General features: G+C 35.7%; 1 long non-coding RNA gene across 2 annotated transcripts in view; it reads right to left on the reverse strand.

The window, feature by feature from the left end:
• The window catches only part of LOC105370466 (uncharacterized), a 53842-nt gene that overhangs the window by 13674 nt on the left and 25401 nt on the right, over positions 1-14767 (reverse strand). Inside the window, exon 3 of one of the 2 annotated variants that reach the window (XR_943792.3) lies at positions 2270-3368. The exons of the other annotated variant lie outside the window; for it this stretch is intronic. This is a non-coding gene — a long non-coding RNA (uncharacterized LOC105370466). Of the gene's footprint in view, positions 1-2269; positions 3369-14767 lie in introns of those variants that run through there. 2 annotated transcript variants of the gene reach the window in all.

The following is a 14767-nucleotide window of genomic DNA, read 5'->3' on the forward strand; positions in this document are numbered from 1 at the left end:
TTTCTTTAATGTTTGCTGTGTGCAAACAATTAAAATTAGCTCTCAGTTATTTCTCATTGATTTAAAAGCTTATAGTAAAGTTGAGTGGTGCTAGTGTAAGTATAATGACATCAGAGTAACATAATTGTCACTCAATGAAGAATTCTATGACATGGTGTGTGGCAGTTGTTTTATAAAAGTTGTGTCATGGGAAGATGGTCACTCCTACTGACATTTTGGCAGAGGAAGAATTATAAAAAGTTCCTCTAATATTACCTGCCCTGTTTGTTGTTATTGGTAGAATGTTTTATATTTTTCCTTACTTCTGTAAAAGTATCCTCTGAGAAGCATACTTTGTGTTTCAATGGAAATATTAGAAGTACAAATTGAACTTTTGGGAAGACTTTTTTTGAACATGGGTGTCATTTGCTGTCAAGACTGAAGAGCAAATTTTCATAAATATCAATCAACCATGGTTTTAAGGGAGCCATTGCTGATTGTACAAATGTTCAAAGGAAACATACTCTAGAGAAGGCAAGGATAAGTAGCTTTGTCTTTAAAGCATAAAGACTTTGATAAAAAGAAATGCAAATTTGGTCTTTGTCCTCTGTTCCTGACACAGAGCTGAAAACCTTTGAAATTTCCTGGGTGACAGGGGTGTCTTTTTTTTTTTTTTTTACATGAGGCCACTCTTGGTGGGCCTGAGATAGCTTCTGAATGGGGGCTGGTCACCAGAAAGACCAAAACATGATTAAACAGTTGAAACTTTGCCTCCACTCTCTGATCTCCAGGGAGGGAAGAAGGATGGGAGGTTGAGTCAACCATCAATGGCCACTGACTTCATCATTCATGCCCACGTAATGAAACTTCCATACAATTCAGGATTCAGAGAGCTTCCTGGGAGGGAGCTGTGATAACTTTCAATTTATAGCTGGTCAGTTAGAAGTACGGGAGGCACAGGAGTAGAGATCGATGTCGGCAGTGGAGGCAGTCTTATACATTGAGCCCTTGACCTGTGGGGTCTCGACTAACTTTTGGTTAGTGTCAGAAGTGAATTGAATTTTAGGGGAACTAGTTGGTGTCCAGATGGTTGGAGAAATGGTTGGTCTGAGATAAAATAACAAACATTTAGTGTCAAAAGTGTTGTTATTAAAAGCAGTTTCAAATGACTGACTCTGGAGCCAGACACCTTAAGTTCATATCCCAATACCATCACTTTTAAGCTGTGCTACTTTTCAGAATTGTTGTTTGGTGACTCACTTTTGTTATTGACAATAACGTATCTATTTCATAGGTTTATTATGAGCACTAACTTAATGAAAAGTGTTTTCAGTCATGAGTGCCATTAGGTAATTCACAATCAATGTTATATATCATTACTATGACAACAAATTGACAGATATTTCTAAGGACATGTATATAAGGCCTACATATACAAATCCTTTCAATTTCCTCATTATTGAGAGAAAAATCTCCATGTCATTTTTGAAGGGTATGGCAATGTTTATGACATTGTGTAATGACATGCACAAAATCTCCAGTGCATGTCTTGTATCAATTTTTGTTCTGGAATATCTTCTCAAACATATTCACACAGCATACACTTTTGAAGGATAAATATAGTGCTTGCCTTTGGAACAGGTCATACATTTGTTTCCTGACTAGAAGAGGATAATGTCTCCCTGTCAGGCAAAATTTAGTCAGGTTTGCTAGTAGTTCCCTTAAAACAGGGGTCCCCAACCTACAGGCTGTGGACCAGTATTGATTTGTGGCCTGTTAGGAACCAGGTCACACAGCAGGAGGTGAGCAGCAGGCCAGTTAGAACTGCTGCCTGAGCTGTGCCTCCTGTCAGATTAGGGCAGCATTAGATTCTCATAGGAGTGCAAACCCTATTGTGAACTGTGTATGTGAGGGACCTAGTTTGCATGCTCCTTATGAGAATCTAACTAATGCCTGACGATCTGAGGTGGAACAGTTTTATTCTGAAAATATCCCTCTCTCTCAGCTTCCAGTCTGTGGAAAAATTGTCTTCCATGAAACTGGTCCCTGGTGTCAAAAACATTAGTGACCGCTGCCTTAAAAAACTGGGGGTTTCTGCAACAGATGCTGGAGAGGATGTGGAGAAATAGGAATGCTTTTACACTGTTGGTGGGAGTTAAATTATTTCAACAATTGTGGAAGACAATGTGTGGTGATTCCTCAGGGATCTAGAACTGGAAATACCATTTGACCCAGCAGTCCCATTACTGGGTATATAATCAAAGGATTATAAATCATTCTACTACAAAGACACATGCACACATATGTTTATTGTGGCACTGTTCACAATAGCAAAGACTTGGAACCAACCCAAATGCCCATCAATGATAGACTGAATAAAGAAAATGTGGCACATACACACCATGGAATACTGTGCAGCCATAAAAAAGGATGAGTTCATGTCCTTTGCAGGGACATGGATGAAGCTGGAAACCATCATTCTCAGCAAACTAACACAGGAACAGAAAACCAAACACTGCATGTTCTCACTCATAAGTGGGAGTTGAACAACAAGAACACATGGACATGTGGGGGCAGGGGGGAACATTACACACCGGGCCTGTCGGGAGGTGGGGGGCTGGGAAAGGGATAGCATTAGGAGAAATACCTAATGTAGATGATGGGTTGATAAGTGCAGCAAACCACCATGGCACATGTATACATATGTAACAAGCCTGCAAGATCTGCACAAGTACCCCAGAACTTAAAGTATAATTTTAAAAAAACTGTGGGTTTCTGAAGCTTCAGGTTCTTCAGTTGCAACATAAACTCACCATTTGTGCAGCAGATGTGGAACATATGAGAACATGAAGATAATTCTGCTTGCTATGTTGTAAGTAATGAAGCCTTTTGCCTCTGATCCAGGAGTCTGGTGTAGTCTTCTAGCTTCTGTTAAATTGTAGCAGGCTAAGTTACTTGCTTACATACATCAGATTCTTCACAGTTTTTGACCTTTGGTTTGGCAGGAGTATGTGGCTTCAACCCTTAGAAGATGTGACAACCAGTAAATGTCGTAGAATGTATTAATATTCAGCAAATTTCCTTCTTCCCCACCTGCCACTGGAAGAGGGTACTTTCTCACTGAAATGATGCCATCTTTACGTATGTGATTTACTCTTTGTGACTACTGTATGAATAGAGGTTACAGATATGCTTGTGTGGGTCGGTTTGAGCTCTTGCAATCGCATCTCCCACCATGATAAGAGCATGCCCAAGTAGCTATTGATCTCAGAATGCAGAAAGAAATTAAGTTGACTTAAACTAAACTTTAGCCTAGAGTGAAGTCCGGAAACTCAGTCAATATCAACTGAATCTGTTAGGCACAGCTGAACAACATTTGGTAAACAGAACTGCAAGAGAAAAATAAAGTTTGTTGTTGAAGCCATTAAGATATATGGTCATACTGAAAAGTATGCATTAGGCCCTGAGCAATAGATGGTGATGCTAGGAATGATTATCTGATTTTTTCCAAAAAAATTTGTCACCTCACCGCAATTATTTTTACCTGCAAGATCAAAATTCCCTTTATGGGAAAAATGTGTAATTGGAATATAATATTCTTCAGCTTAAGGTAATAATAATAAGGACCTTAGCACTGTTGTAGGCCACTAAAATATGCAAATTACTTCCTAATTTTACTGCATGAATGAGAAAATTAGAGGATTTCGGGGTGACTTTTGTGCCTTTTTTTATACTTCGAATGTAGACTTTCATAAACCTACTCAGAACTCAAATTTAGGCTATCACAATTAATTCCTCTTTCTCTCTTTCCCTCCTTCTCTCTCTCTCTCTATATATATATCTTAAAATACACACATTGCATCTATGTAATTAGCACATTTCCTGAGATAAAGGATGCTTTTACTTGAAAAGAAATTAATATTTTCTACAAAAACAATGTTACCAACATTTTATACGAATGCACATGTGTGTATATAAACAATACATCTTCCATATTCTATATGCAATAAATCTCCTATATTCTTAACCAATAATTATTAGAGATAATGACTAACATTGGCAAAGTTTTTGGCCAGGGGACATAGGAATATCTGAATCTGACTCCTGATGAGAGACCTTCCTTCTTGATTGAGCTGTATTTGAACTCAGTTTGAACCTTTGTGTCTGTGCTCTTACCAAACTTTGTGTGCAGTGTACTGAATGAATGCACTACGAAGTTTCTATCAGTAACAGTGGGACAGCACAGCATTGCCTCAGATGCTCAAAGACCAATACAATAGCCACTAGCAACATGTGGCTATCTAAAATTAAATGAGTATTGATTAAAATAATATGAAACCAGAAATTCCTTCCTCTGTCACACTAGCCACATTTCAAGTTTTCGCTAAGCTACATGTCACCGATGGCTACCATATTGAAAAGCACAGATAAAGAAAATCTATAATTATTGCCTGTAATTATGGCAACCAGGGACAACTGGATCCTGCTGTTAATCAGCTTTCTATATCTCAAGGTCTCCTGGATGCATGCACTTAGAATCATGCCCAGGAAGAAAATAAAAACTTAATATTGGCTGGGTCTTAGGCCTGTGAGAGAATGATTAACTGAATGTGTCCTCCCAAAATTCATGTTGAAATGCTAACCCTCAATGTGATGGTATTAGGAAGTGGGACCCTTGGAAGAAGATTAGGTAATGGGGGTAGTGTTTTCATGAATAGGATTAGTGCCGTTATAAAAATGAGCTCCCTAGCTCTCTTCCTGTCACATGAAGATGCATCAGGAAGTCGGCCCTCTGCAACCCAGAGAAGGGCTCTCAACAGAACCGGACTACACTGGCCTACTAATCCCAGACTTCCAGCCTTCATAACTGTAAGAAATAGATTTCTGTTGTTTATAATGCACCAAGTATATGATAGTCCATGTAGCATTCTGAACTAAGACAGAGGGCATGGTATTCTGTGAGGAAATAGTGAGAAGAGCAACAACTGGGTTTTAATCCCAAATCAGATTGCACAACATTCTACCTCCAAGCTCCTCACAAAAACTCACCTTTCATCAGATTACAAATTAACTGGGCTTTGGTTATGCTTCTCTAAAGGTAGAAAAGTAAAACCCCATTCTGTCATTTTTCATTTCCCTACTGTAGCAACATTGATTTATATTTGCTAGTTCCTAAGTCCTGACTGAGAATAAAAGAAACTAAGAAATCTTGAGCTCATAGAGCAAAAACTATGACTCCTATCATTGCACAGTCCCAGTGTACGAGGATGGAGCAATCCATCTCTCCCTGTTTTTAGGGCCTATTACCTTGGCCTAAAATATTACTAACATTGTTTCTGGATTTATGGCAACTGGAGGTGATGCTGAAAATACTTTTTTCTCCCAAATTAGCTCTGACCTCCAGAGGCAATGATATTCCTGCAACCTGGGGTCACCAAGGAACATGATCCTTAAACTTGAAAAAAGAAATCTTTTACAGGCCATAATCAGGTTCTGACCATCATCTTGCAAGTCCAAGTGTTGTCTATAGATAACCAGCATTAGCAAAAACTTGAAGCTTTTTTTTTTTAAACGGAAAATCTCACGCACCATCCTGGACATAACTGAATCAGAATCTGAATCTAAACAAGATTTTCACATGACTTAAATGCACATTACAATTTGAGAAGCGTTAGCCAAGGAGCCTTCTTTCTAGTGCAGAAAGACTGCCTTTGGTTCGAGACTTTTTCAGCACAAATGCTGATAAACTAAGTTGTGAGGTACTCAACGTTGTGATAATAAAAATATTCTTTATGTGTGCTTTCCCACATGATAACCATTGGTAACATGTAACTTATTGAAACTTGAAATGTGGCTAGTGTGATGGAGGAAGAAATTTCTAGTTTCATATTATTTTTATCAACACACATTTAATTTTAGATAGCCACATGTTGCTAGTGGCTATTGTGTTTCACTTTGAGGATCTAAGGCAATGCTGTGCTGTCCCACTGTTACTGATAGAAGCTTCATAGCGCATTCACTCAGAATATTGCAAAGTTTTATGGTAAGAACATAGACACAAATATTCAAACTAAGTTAAAATATAGTTCAAACATGTACAAGCTTTGCAGCCTTGAGTAAAAAACCTCTTATGCCTCAGTTTCCTCACAACATGACAAATAATACTTGTTTATGATTATTATAAAATTAAATGAATTAATACTATAAAGTCATTAGAGCAGTGTCAGGGAAATAGTACTGTAGTACTAAATATATGTTTGTTAAATTAATAAATATCCCGCTAGGTTTGATAGTGGTGGAACTGTAAAACCTAAAAGAGTGATTTTTTTTTTTTTTTGAGAAGGAGTCTCGCTCTGTTTTCCAGGCTGGAGTGCAGTGGCGCGATGTCGGCTCACTGCAAGCTCCGCCTCCTGGGTTCATGTCATTCTCTTGCCTCAGCCTCCCGAGTACCTGGGACTACAGGCACCGGCCACCACGCCCAGCTAATTTTTTGTATATTTAGTAGGGACGGGGTTTCACTGTGTTAGCCAGGATGGTCTCGATCTCCTGACCTCGTGATCCGCCCACCTTGGCCTCCCAAAGTGCTGGGATTACAGGCGTGAGCTACTGCGCCAGGTCAGGAGTGAGTTTTAACTATTTTTCGGGAGCCAAGCATCACATTTCCCACAGAAAAATCTGTTAAACACAGTTAAGACAAACAATGATAGGGAAGGAAGCAACATTGTGAATAAATGCCTATGAAATTCTTAAGATTTGAGAAGTGTTTGAAAAAGTTTCTCCTGAAGATATTGTCATCTGAATTGAGAATCATTGTCCTAATGGCCTTTTTAAATTCAGATATATTAGTAGTCCTGCTTGAACTATGTCAAATGTGAGACATGGAACCTGTAATTATGGAAGCCTGGGATGCCTAGATCCTGCTGTTAATCAGCTTTCTATATCTCAAGGTCTCCTGGACGCATACACTTAGAATAATGCCCAAGAAAATATTTAAAAAAATTAAATATTGGCTGGGTCTTTGACCTCAAAGTTCAAAGAAAGCTTTACTTTGTCTATACCAGATAATTCCACTATGTGCTGCGATTAGATAGGCTTCAATGGCTTTTTTTTTTTTTTTTAATCACAATTCTTTTCCTGGTTTCTGCTCAATAGAATAGGGTATGCAGATCTGGGAATGCATTTCATCTAAAGTAGGAGGAAGCCCTAGGAACATTTACCTCAATGGAATAAAGGAGGGGTGTATGTGTGTGTGTGTGTGTGTCAGAAGCAAAGAGAGACAGAGAATATGAAAAATGAAAAATGAGAGACATGGCCACACACCTTTCTTTGAAAAGGGGATAATATCCCTGAATGGCCTCATTCTTCCAGCTTCTAAGCAGAAAACAAGCCTGAGGTGAGAATTTTACCTAAGTACACTTGACTTTTAACTGGAAAACTACCCTTTGAAATGTCTTTCATCTTGTCCGCTAAAAACCTTTTCCTCCTTAGGACTACATTAAAGGAAAGTAATAAGTAAGTAAGTCTGAGTTTTAACAAGAAGCTAAAAATCGCATTTTAGACCTTCCCTTTTTCAGTTACGGTAAAAAGCAGAGTCCCAGAACAACTATCTCAGATGGAGACACTCCATATGACCGCAATCGGGCTGGTCAGTGGGACATATGCACTGCGCAGTGAACTACATGCATGAGAAAGACAGGGCAGAACCTAATCAGCAAAAATGTCATGACTTATAGACTTATCTTGGTGTCCGTTTTTTAATTGCAGATTTTTCTAATTTTTTTTTTGCAGGTTTTTACAATTATTATCCTTTTTTGTGTGTGTTCTAGATTTTTATCATGAATTAGTCTTAAATTAAGAATTATGACCAGTCTATTTCCATTCCTTTAGCTAGCTTTCACAACATTTCTACTATGCATATGCAAACTGGGGATTGAATGACAACTGTATCATATTTAGTGCTGATAATATATATTCAGATAATATTTTGTTGCACAGTTCCTTTTTAACATCTTAAAAGGGAATCTAAAGAACAAACACTCAAAATATGCCTGCAGTTTTAGGTGTTAGGCTAATTGTATTACTTTATATTTTGAAATAGAAACTCAGTGGCAACACAATTCTTAAGTGGCTAAATATAGTAGATTGTTTTTTCCCCAATGATTATAAAGTTTAGCTCATTTATTTATTAGTATAGTCATTAATATATGCATTATGTAACTATTCTTTGTATGTGTGTTGTATCTGTGATTTGAAGGATGGCAAAAGTGAAAGAGAAAATAAGACAAATTAGGAATCAGGCATGTGAATCCCTTGTTTTGTTTCTATTGATGGCTTTCTTATTTCAGGCTGCTTTTGACTAAAGCAGTTTTCTGACTTAGTGTTTGTACTCTTTCAACTCACAAAGTAAAATTAACTTTTTACATGGTAACTGCTATATTTAAATAGTTCTAGAAAAATGAAACACCTTTTAGTTGCTTGCTTAATGGTAATACCCTTACTTCCCTGATTATAGGACATAGCTAATCCCAAGTACTTTGTCAGTTTTCCCTTCAACTGAAGATTGACATTATTTTGCAAAGCACTTTAGCAGGGGGACAAATCTTTATATGTTTTTATTGGGAAACATATGATTATTCTCAAAGACTATTTATACTACATAATGTATATTGATCCATTATTTTTCTATCATATCATTGACAAATATAATTATTTAAATATAAAGGAAATATATTGATTAATATACCATTCTTATTTCAAAAATAACATTATTCAAGTTTTACCAAAATGTAAAAGACATCTTATTCTGTGACTGGGTTTTTGACTGAGGACCCTCATATAAGAACTTAATAGTATAGCAACATTTTCTGAAGAGAATTTTTTTAACAAAAGAAAATAAAGTTTATAAATGAAGCTTTTACTTATAGGATTTAATTTTGGTCATTGATCTTACTCCAGATACACCCATTATAAAACTGTAATTAGAAAGGAAAAATACCTACTTTAAGAAAGTATTGGTTTTTAGCTGGTTCTTCTTTTCATAAGTGAACAAAAGAGATTAGAGGCCTTGACTTTGAAGAGTAAAAGTTAAGAAATCTGGATAAGAAAAAGAACTTAAATATATGAAATAATTAAAGAACATCAATATAGTATGACTATAGTTAGTAGAATATGACAGGTAGGGAAAATTTGTTATCCTAGATCTCAGTTCTTCGTCAGTGCTTTTTTTGTGTTTTTCAAAAGTGGGAGAAAATTTGACTTCATATTACTAGGATTTCTTAAACCATTTTCATTTATTTTATTGTCTCAACACTCCCTTCCCTATTCTACGCATCTTTCCAAACCAAATAACAGGCATTCGATACATTCTTATTGAATAAATGAATGAATGAATGAATGAACTGTGATATAACAAAAAAGGAACCACTATAAGTGAGAAGTTTGGCATTCATTAGGTAATTCTGAACACTATGACATTTTTCAGAATGAATCTAATGAGTTCTGTGATGTCAGGTTCAGGAACTAAGTCTAACAGGCTAGATCCCTTGATACTTTTTTCTTAGTGATCCCTAAAGTCTTTAACATATTGTCTAAAATAGCACACTGTCTTTTATATATATTTCAATTATTTTCTAATTTGCGGTTATTATCAATTTTTAACATTTTTGCTATGAATAAACTTGAAATTTTATGTAATCATGTTTATGTCTTTGTTTTGTGTTAGTTTTTATATTTTAAAATTTCTCCTATCTAACTGAAATTTTGTATCCCTTGATCAACATCCTTATTTTTACACATAAAAAAATTTGATCAATCCTAAGTTAGAAAAATAGTAGTCTATATTTATCTACACTTTGTTCTTTATTATTTAATTGTTATATATTTAAGCTATTTAAAATTTATTTAAAATTTAACATGTATTTTTTGTATGATTTGGCAAAGAGTATTTGTTATCACTCAATATAAATTATAGCTTTCTTCTTCAATAAAAGAACCCCAAATTTATTTGTGGATGGTAAAGTTTATAGCTAAAATTCTATGAAAACCTTTCTTTCAGCTAAGGACAGTCATACATACTAATTCATACCTCTGAGATAGAATTAAAAAGATTATGTCAGACTTCTGGGAAGCCTGCTTAAATGGAGTTGACTCAGCTAGAAAGCACCCTCCTACTGCAGAGCTTGAGACAGGTCTGACTCAAATTTATTACCACATAGATCATTCCTTTCTTTTATTAATTGCTTATCTGAATCCTCTTACTCTAACATTGAGAAACCTGGCTTCCACTATTTGTCTTTCATTTATGAATTGTTTAATTTCAGTATGCATATATTTCAGAATTGTTAAGTCTTACACTGTGAGAAATAACTTTATCAACTAAAAGAGTGTTTGTATTTAGTTCCTTTTGCCTTTAGTGTTACAGTCTTTACTCATTTCCAAAATTAGTTAGGTCAGCTCTTTCTCTACCACACCTCCTTTGGTGAGGCTATTTAATCTTAGGTGAAACAATAAGATCAGTCTCATTCCACTTTGGAATTTTCAGATCTCTTAAATGATTTTTATTTAATCTGCATTCATTAAGCTTCACTATTTGTCCTGCAAAGTTACAGAAGTTTTGACAAATCCAAACTGTCATGTATACACCATTACATGTAATTCAGAACAGTTTTTCTGCCCTAAAAATTGATGTCTGATTTACCTGTTCAATTATATTTCTGTTTGTAATTCTACCTCTCATCTGTATATTTCTAACTAAAGTCAGACTTCCAACATACCACTGGAGGACAAGAATCATGTCAAACTCAAGATGAAATAGTATTCTCAACAAGGGTAGGTAGTCTGATAACTAGTCTGGTAGCTGACCCCAAGTATCCATGCTTTCCAGTATTCATCCTCATAGGTGATAGTTATATAAACCATTTTAACCTGCCGCACAGGTGATTAAAATTCTGTTAACTCTTAGTTATGCCTAGAAAAAAATATCTCTACAGTGGATCTGGGCTGCAGTGCAAGTTTATCACCCAGAGACTCAATGATACTAGAAGAGTATGTAGCTGATGAGAAAGCTGATAGAGGTTGAGGCAAGTCTTTATAAGACAACTGTCATAGAGACTCTAGTCTTTTTAAGCAAGTAAAGGTATAATTTTTTAGAAATAGCTGTGACATGAAATATGGCCTTGACAGAGAATGAAGAACATATCAAGAACAACAAATGACCAACATGAATTGTCTCTGATACGCTATTTCATTTACCTGTTTATGAAATGGAATATTTCTAGTGCTCTTTATCATCAAATGCAAATGGAATATGTGAGGAGGCCTGGCAGTTCCACCAGGATAATGAGTACACCCTTTTACATTTACATGCACACATACCATGAAGACTTGTGGGGTATTCCTATGGCTAGCTGATTAAAGAAGAAACATTTTTGAGCTTGCACATTATGCTGTGACAATGTAATTGTCTGCTGTGACATTGTAGCACTGTCTGCACTATAGTGCTGTCCAATTTAATTGGAAAGACAAATAGTCTGCAAAATACATCTAGATTCATCCATGGGCAGGGCTAATGGTTTGACTGGTTGTTTAGTCTACTATTAAGGATAGTTTAACATCTGTAAGAAAAAGAAAAGCCTACAAAATCCCTCATTCAACACAATGTGTGTTTATTTCTTCTTATGCTAGCCCAATGTGAGTCTTCATAAACAGGCATTGCCCCTGGGCAGCTCTGCCCCAAGTAGCACTCCTTCAATCTAGTGGCTTTACTGCCACCCTGACCTTGAATCCCTCACTGAAATCAAAGCATTTCGTGTGTTTGGCAGAGGTTAGTGCAAAATACTTCAGGTCTAGGAGAAAAGTAGGGTGGGGGAGGTAATGAATGGATGTTATCAAATATATTATGGGCTGAGCCAGGATGTAAAGCACAATTCTTTTTCCTTCACATTTATTGAGACAAAGCTCATCATACTGAAGTACAAATGCAGTCTCCCTGATTTTAGGAAGTCGAATAAATGTCTCCCTCACAGTTAGAGATTTGGGAGCAGGAAAAGAATGGGAGATGTCAATATCTAGGGAAGAGATATGAAGATATATCCCTTGTAATTGTGGAGTAACTTCAGAGTATAAGAGTATTTAAATATTATTCAAAGAAACATACTGTTCATATTGCTCTTTATAATCGAATTGACAAGATAGTTTACCCTGTGTGTGTCAGCGAATGTATTGTCTCAAATATCCACCAGTGCTTTCCAAATGGGATCATGAAACAAAAAGAGGCTGTGAATGAATTCAACAGGCAAAACTTGCCAAACTACTGTTCTGCTGCTGTTCCTTTTGACTAGCTGCAACAGCCAATCCTGCTCTCCAATATAGTACCATACTCCAAGAGAACTAGCTAACCAATTGCTTGAGTGCTGGTTACACTTGACAACTTTTCATTATGGAACCATCAAATATTTGTAACTGAAGTAGACACTTAACCTTTATTTACATTTTTATTTGCCTATACATATGCTTACATGATTTTCTGAGAATTTTGTTCATCATTACTGTTTCCCACATGATATTACTTCTGAGCAAGGAAATTATTTTCCAGTTGAATTTGAAGATAATCAATTAAACCTCAACGATTTTCTCTTCTTCCAGCCACAGAATCCACCGAACATATAAAAATTGACTGTAATGCTCTATTAAGGCTCATTACAGCAGAAACTCAGAGAGAACATCTTCAAAGTTTCAGGTGGAAAATATTCTCTGAAACAGTCAACATATATTTTGAGTTCCAGAAAATAAAGGAAAACATTTAAGTGCCTCTTTTTCCTTATAAACTTCACCCATTCTCGATATTTCTGAGAACCATCTCTGTCACTCTGCACTCTGCTTTGGAGCTTTTAGAACCTAAGAGTGGAAAATTATCATGAGACACAAAAAAGATTAAAATTTATGACCCTACCTATACAGCTTCACTTTCTCACAGCACTGGCAAAAGTAAGGAGAAATGATGGTGGATAAAGTGATGCATTTTGGCTCCCAAGGTCAAAGAGAATTGCAGCCATCGAAATCAGGTAAAGCCACGACATGTAGATGGAACGCGAAAATGCTAGGAACATCTTAGAACTTTATTTTCTAACCTTCCTGGTGACTCTAGAAAATTCTACTTTTGTAACATTTTGTAATAAATTAGTTTTTCATTTCTAATTTTGGAGTAGATTATATCTCTAATATGTCAGTATATTGAAAGATATGCTAAATCAGATACCAAATTCACAAGCGTGATGAAAAAGGTAGATCAATTTAACTGGGTTATAATTGAAAACATATTTCAGACAAAAAAAGTTTATAAACAATTAAAAGGCAACTGCTTGCCTTTTACAAAGCATATATTGATCCATAGTCTATTGTCAATAGATTATAAGCATCTTGACATTAGGAATTATCTATTTGATTATGCTGGATAAATATTGATTAATTGAATAAAATTTTAAAAATGGAATTGAATATTATTCATAGAAAAATAATTTATAAAGAATTGTATTCATTAGAAAATAATTCATTAGTAAAAGAGTAACTTCTATATTTTAAAATAGAAATTTAAAGTATTCAACAATGAGAAAAATTACATCATGAACCATTGTTCTAGCTAATTGAATGGCATTCTCTAGTGAATTATGTATTAGTCTATCACATTGACAGTGAAATGAAATGTCATCACAAGATGGACAGTAGATTTGTTTATATTTTTGTATTAATTTAAAAATTATTTTGTTATACTTTTTATACAATTAAAAAATAAAGATAACAATTAAGCCACAAAGGTTAAAAAGAGGGGGAGGGGGCATTCACGGTGCATCTTGATTAAATAGTCTCCAGATGGCAGTTTAGCACTGCCTGAGTCAAAAACAACAGCTACAGACCGGGGTATCGCCCGTGTTTTTAGTCTCTTGGTAAAGTGACCACTTAATATTTACCTTTCTCCTTGTGGAAACTTAGTTAATGAAAACTTATTTTATCCAATTTGCTGTTAATGGCTTTCACAAAATATATCATAAATAGTCCTATAGCATTTAGTTACTCTTGAAAGCAAATATATATAGATTCATTTTTACTCAGATTTATATGTTTTTAAAAATAGCGCACAGGCCGGACGCGGAGGCTCACACCTGTAATCCCAGCACTTTGTAAGACAAGGCGGGTGGATCAAGAGAGCAGGAAGCCTGGCCAACATGGTGAAACCCTGTCTCTACTGAAAATACAAAAATTAGCCAGGCGTGGTGTGGGTGCCTGTAATCCCAGCTACTTGGGAGGCTGAGGCAGGAGAATCACTTGTACTGGGAGAGGGAGGTTGCAGTGAGCCAAGATCGTGCCACTGCACTCCAGCCTGGGCGACGAGCAAGACTCCGTCTCAAAAAAAAAAAAAAAAAGAGTGCACATAACAAAACTTAATATTTTGTTGGACAACATCCCATTTCAATCAAGATGACCAATCAACGTCTAATAGCAGCTGTTTTCACTCTGAAAATGATGCTGCCTTTGGACCCCTATTCAAATAAAATCAACTGTGTCTCTAAAGTAGTTCTTTTCACATGAAATTTCAGTGACACCTAGCCTTTAGTTTTTTGTTAACGATGTATGAGAAACAAATCTTTCTCTAATGAAACATTTCAGAAATTAAAATTATAAGCCTTCATGAATGCTTTATATTGTCTATTATTCACTTAAACCACATTTAAATATTTATTTATTTTTCCATATTCTTTATATATGTATTGCGATAGTCAGCTCAAGTCGCCAT

Source organism: Homo sapiens, chromosome 14, assembly GCF_000001405.40.
Source record: "Homo sapiens chromosome 14, GRCh38.p14 Primary Assembly".
Lineage (NCBI taxonomy): Eukaryota > Metazoa > Chordata > Mammalia > Primates > Hominidae > Homo > Homo sapiens.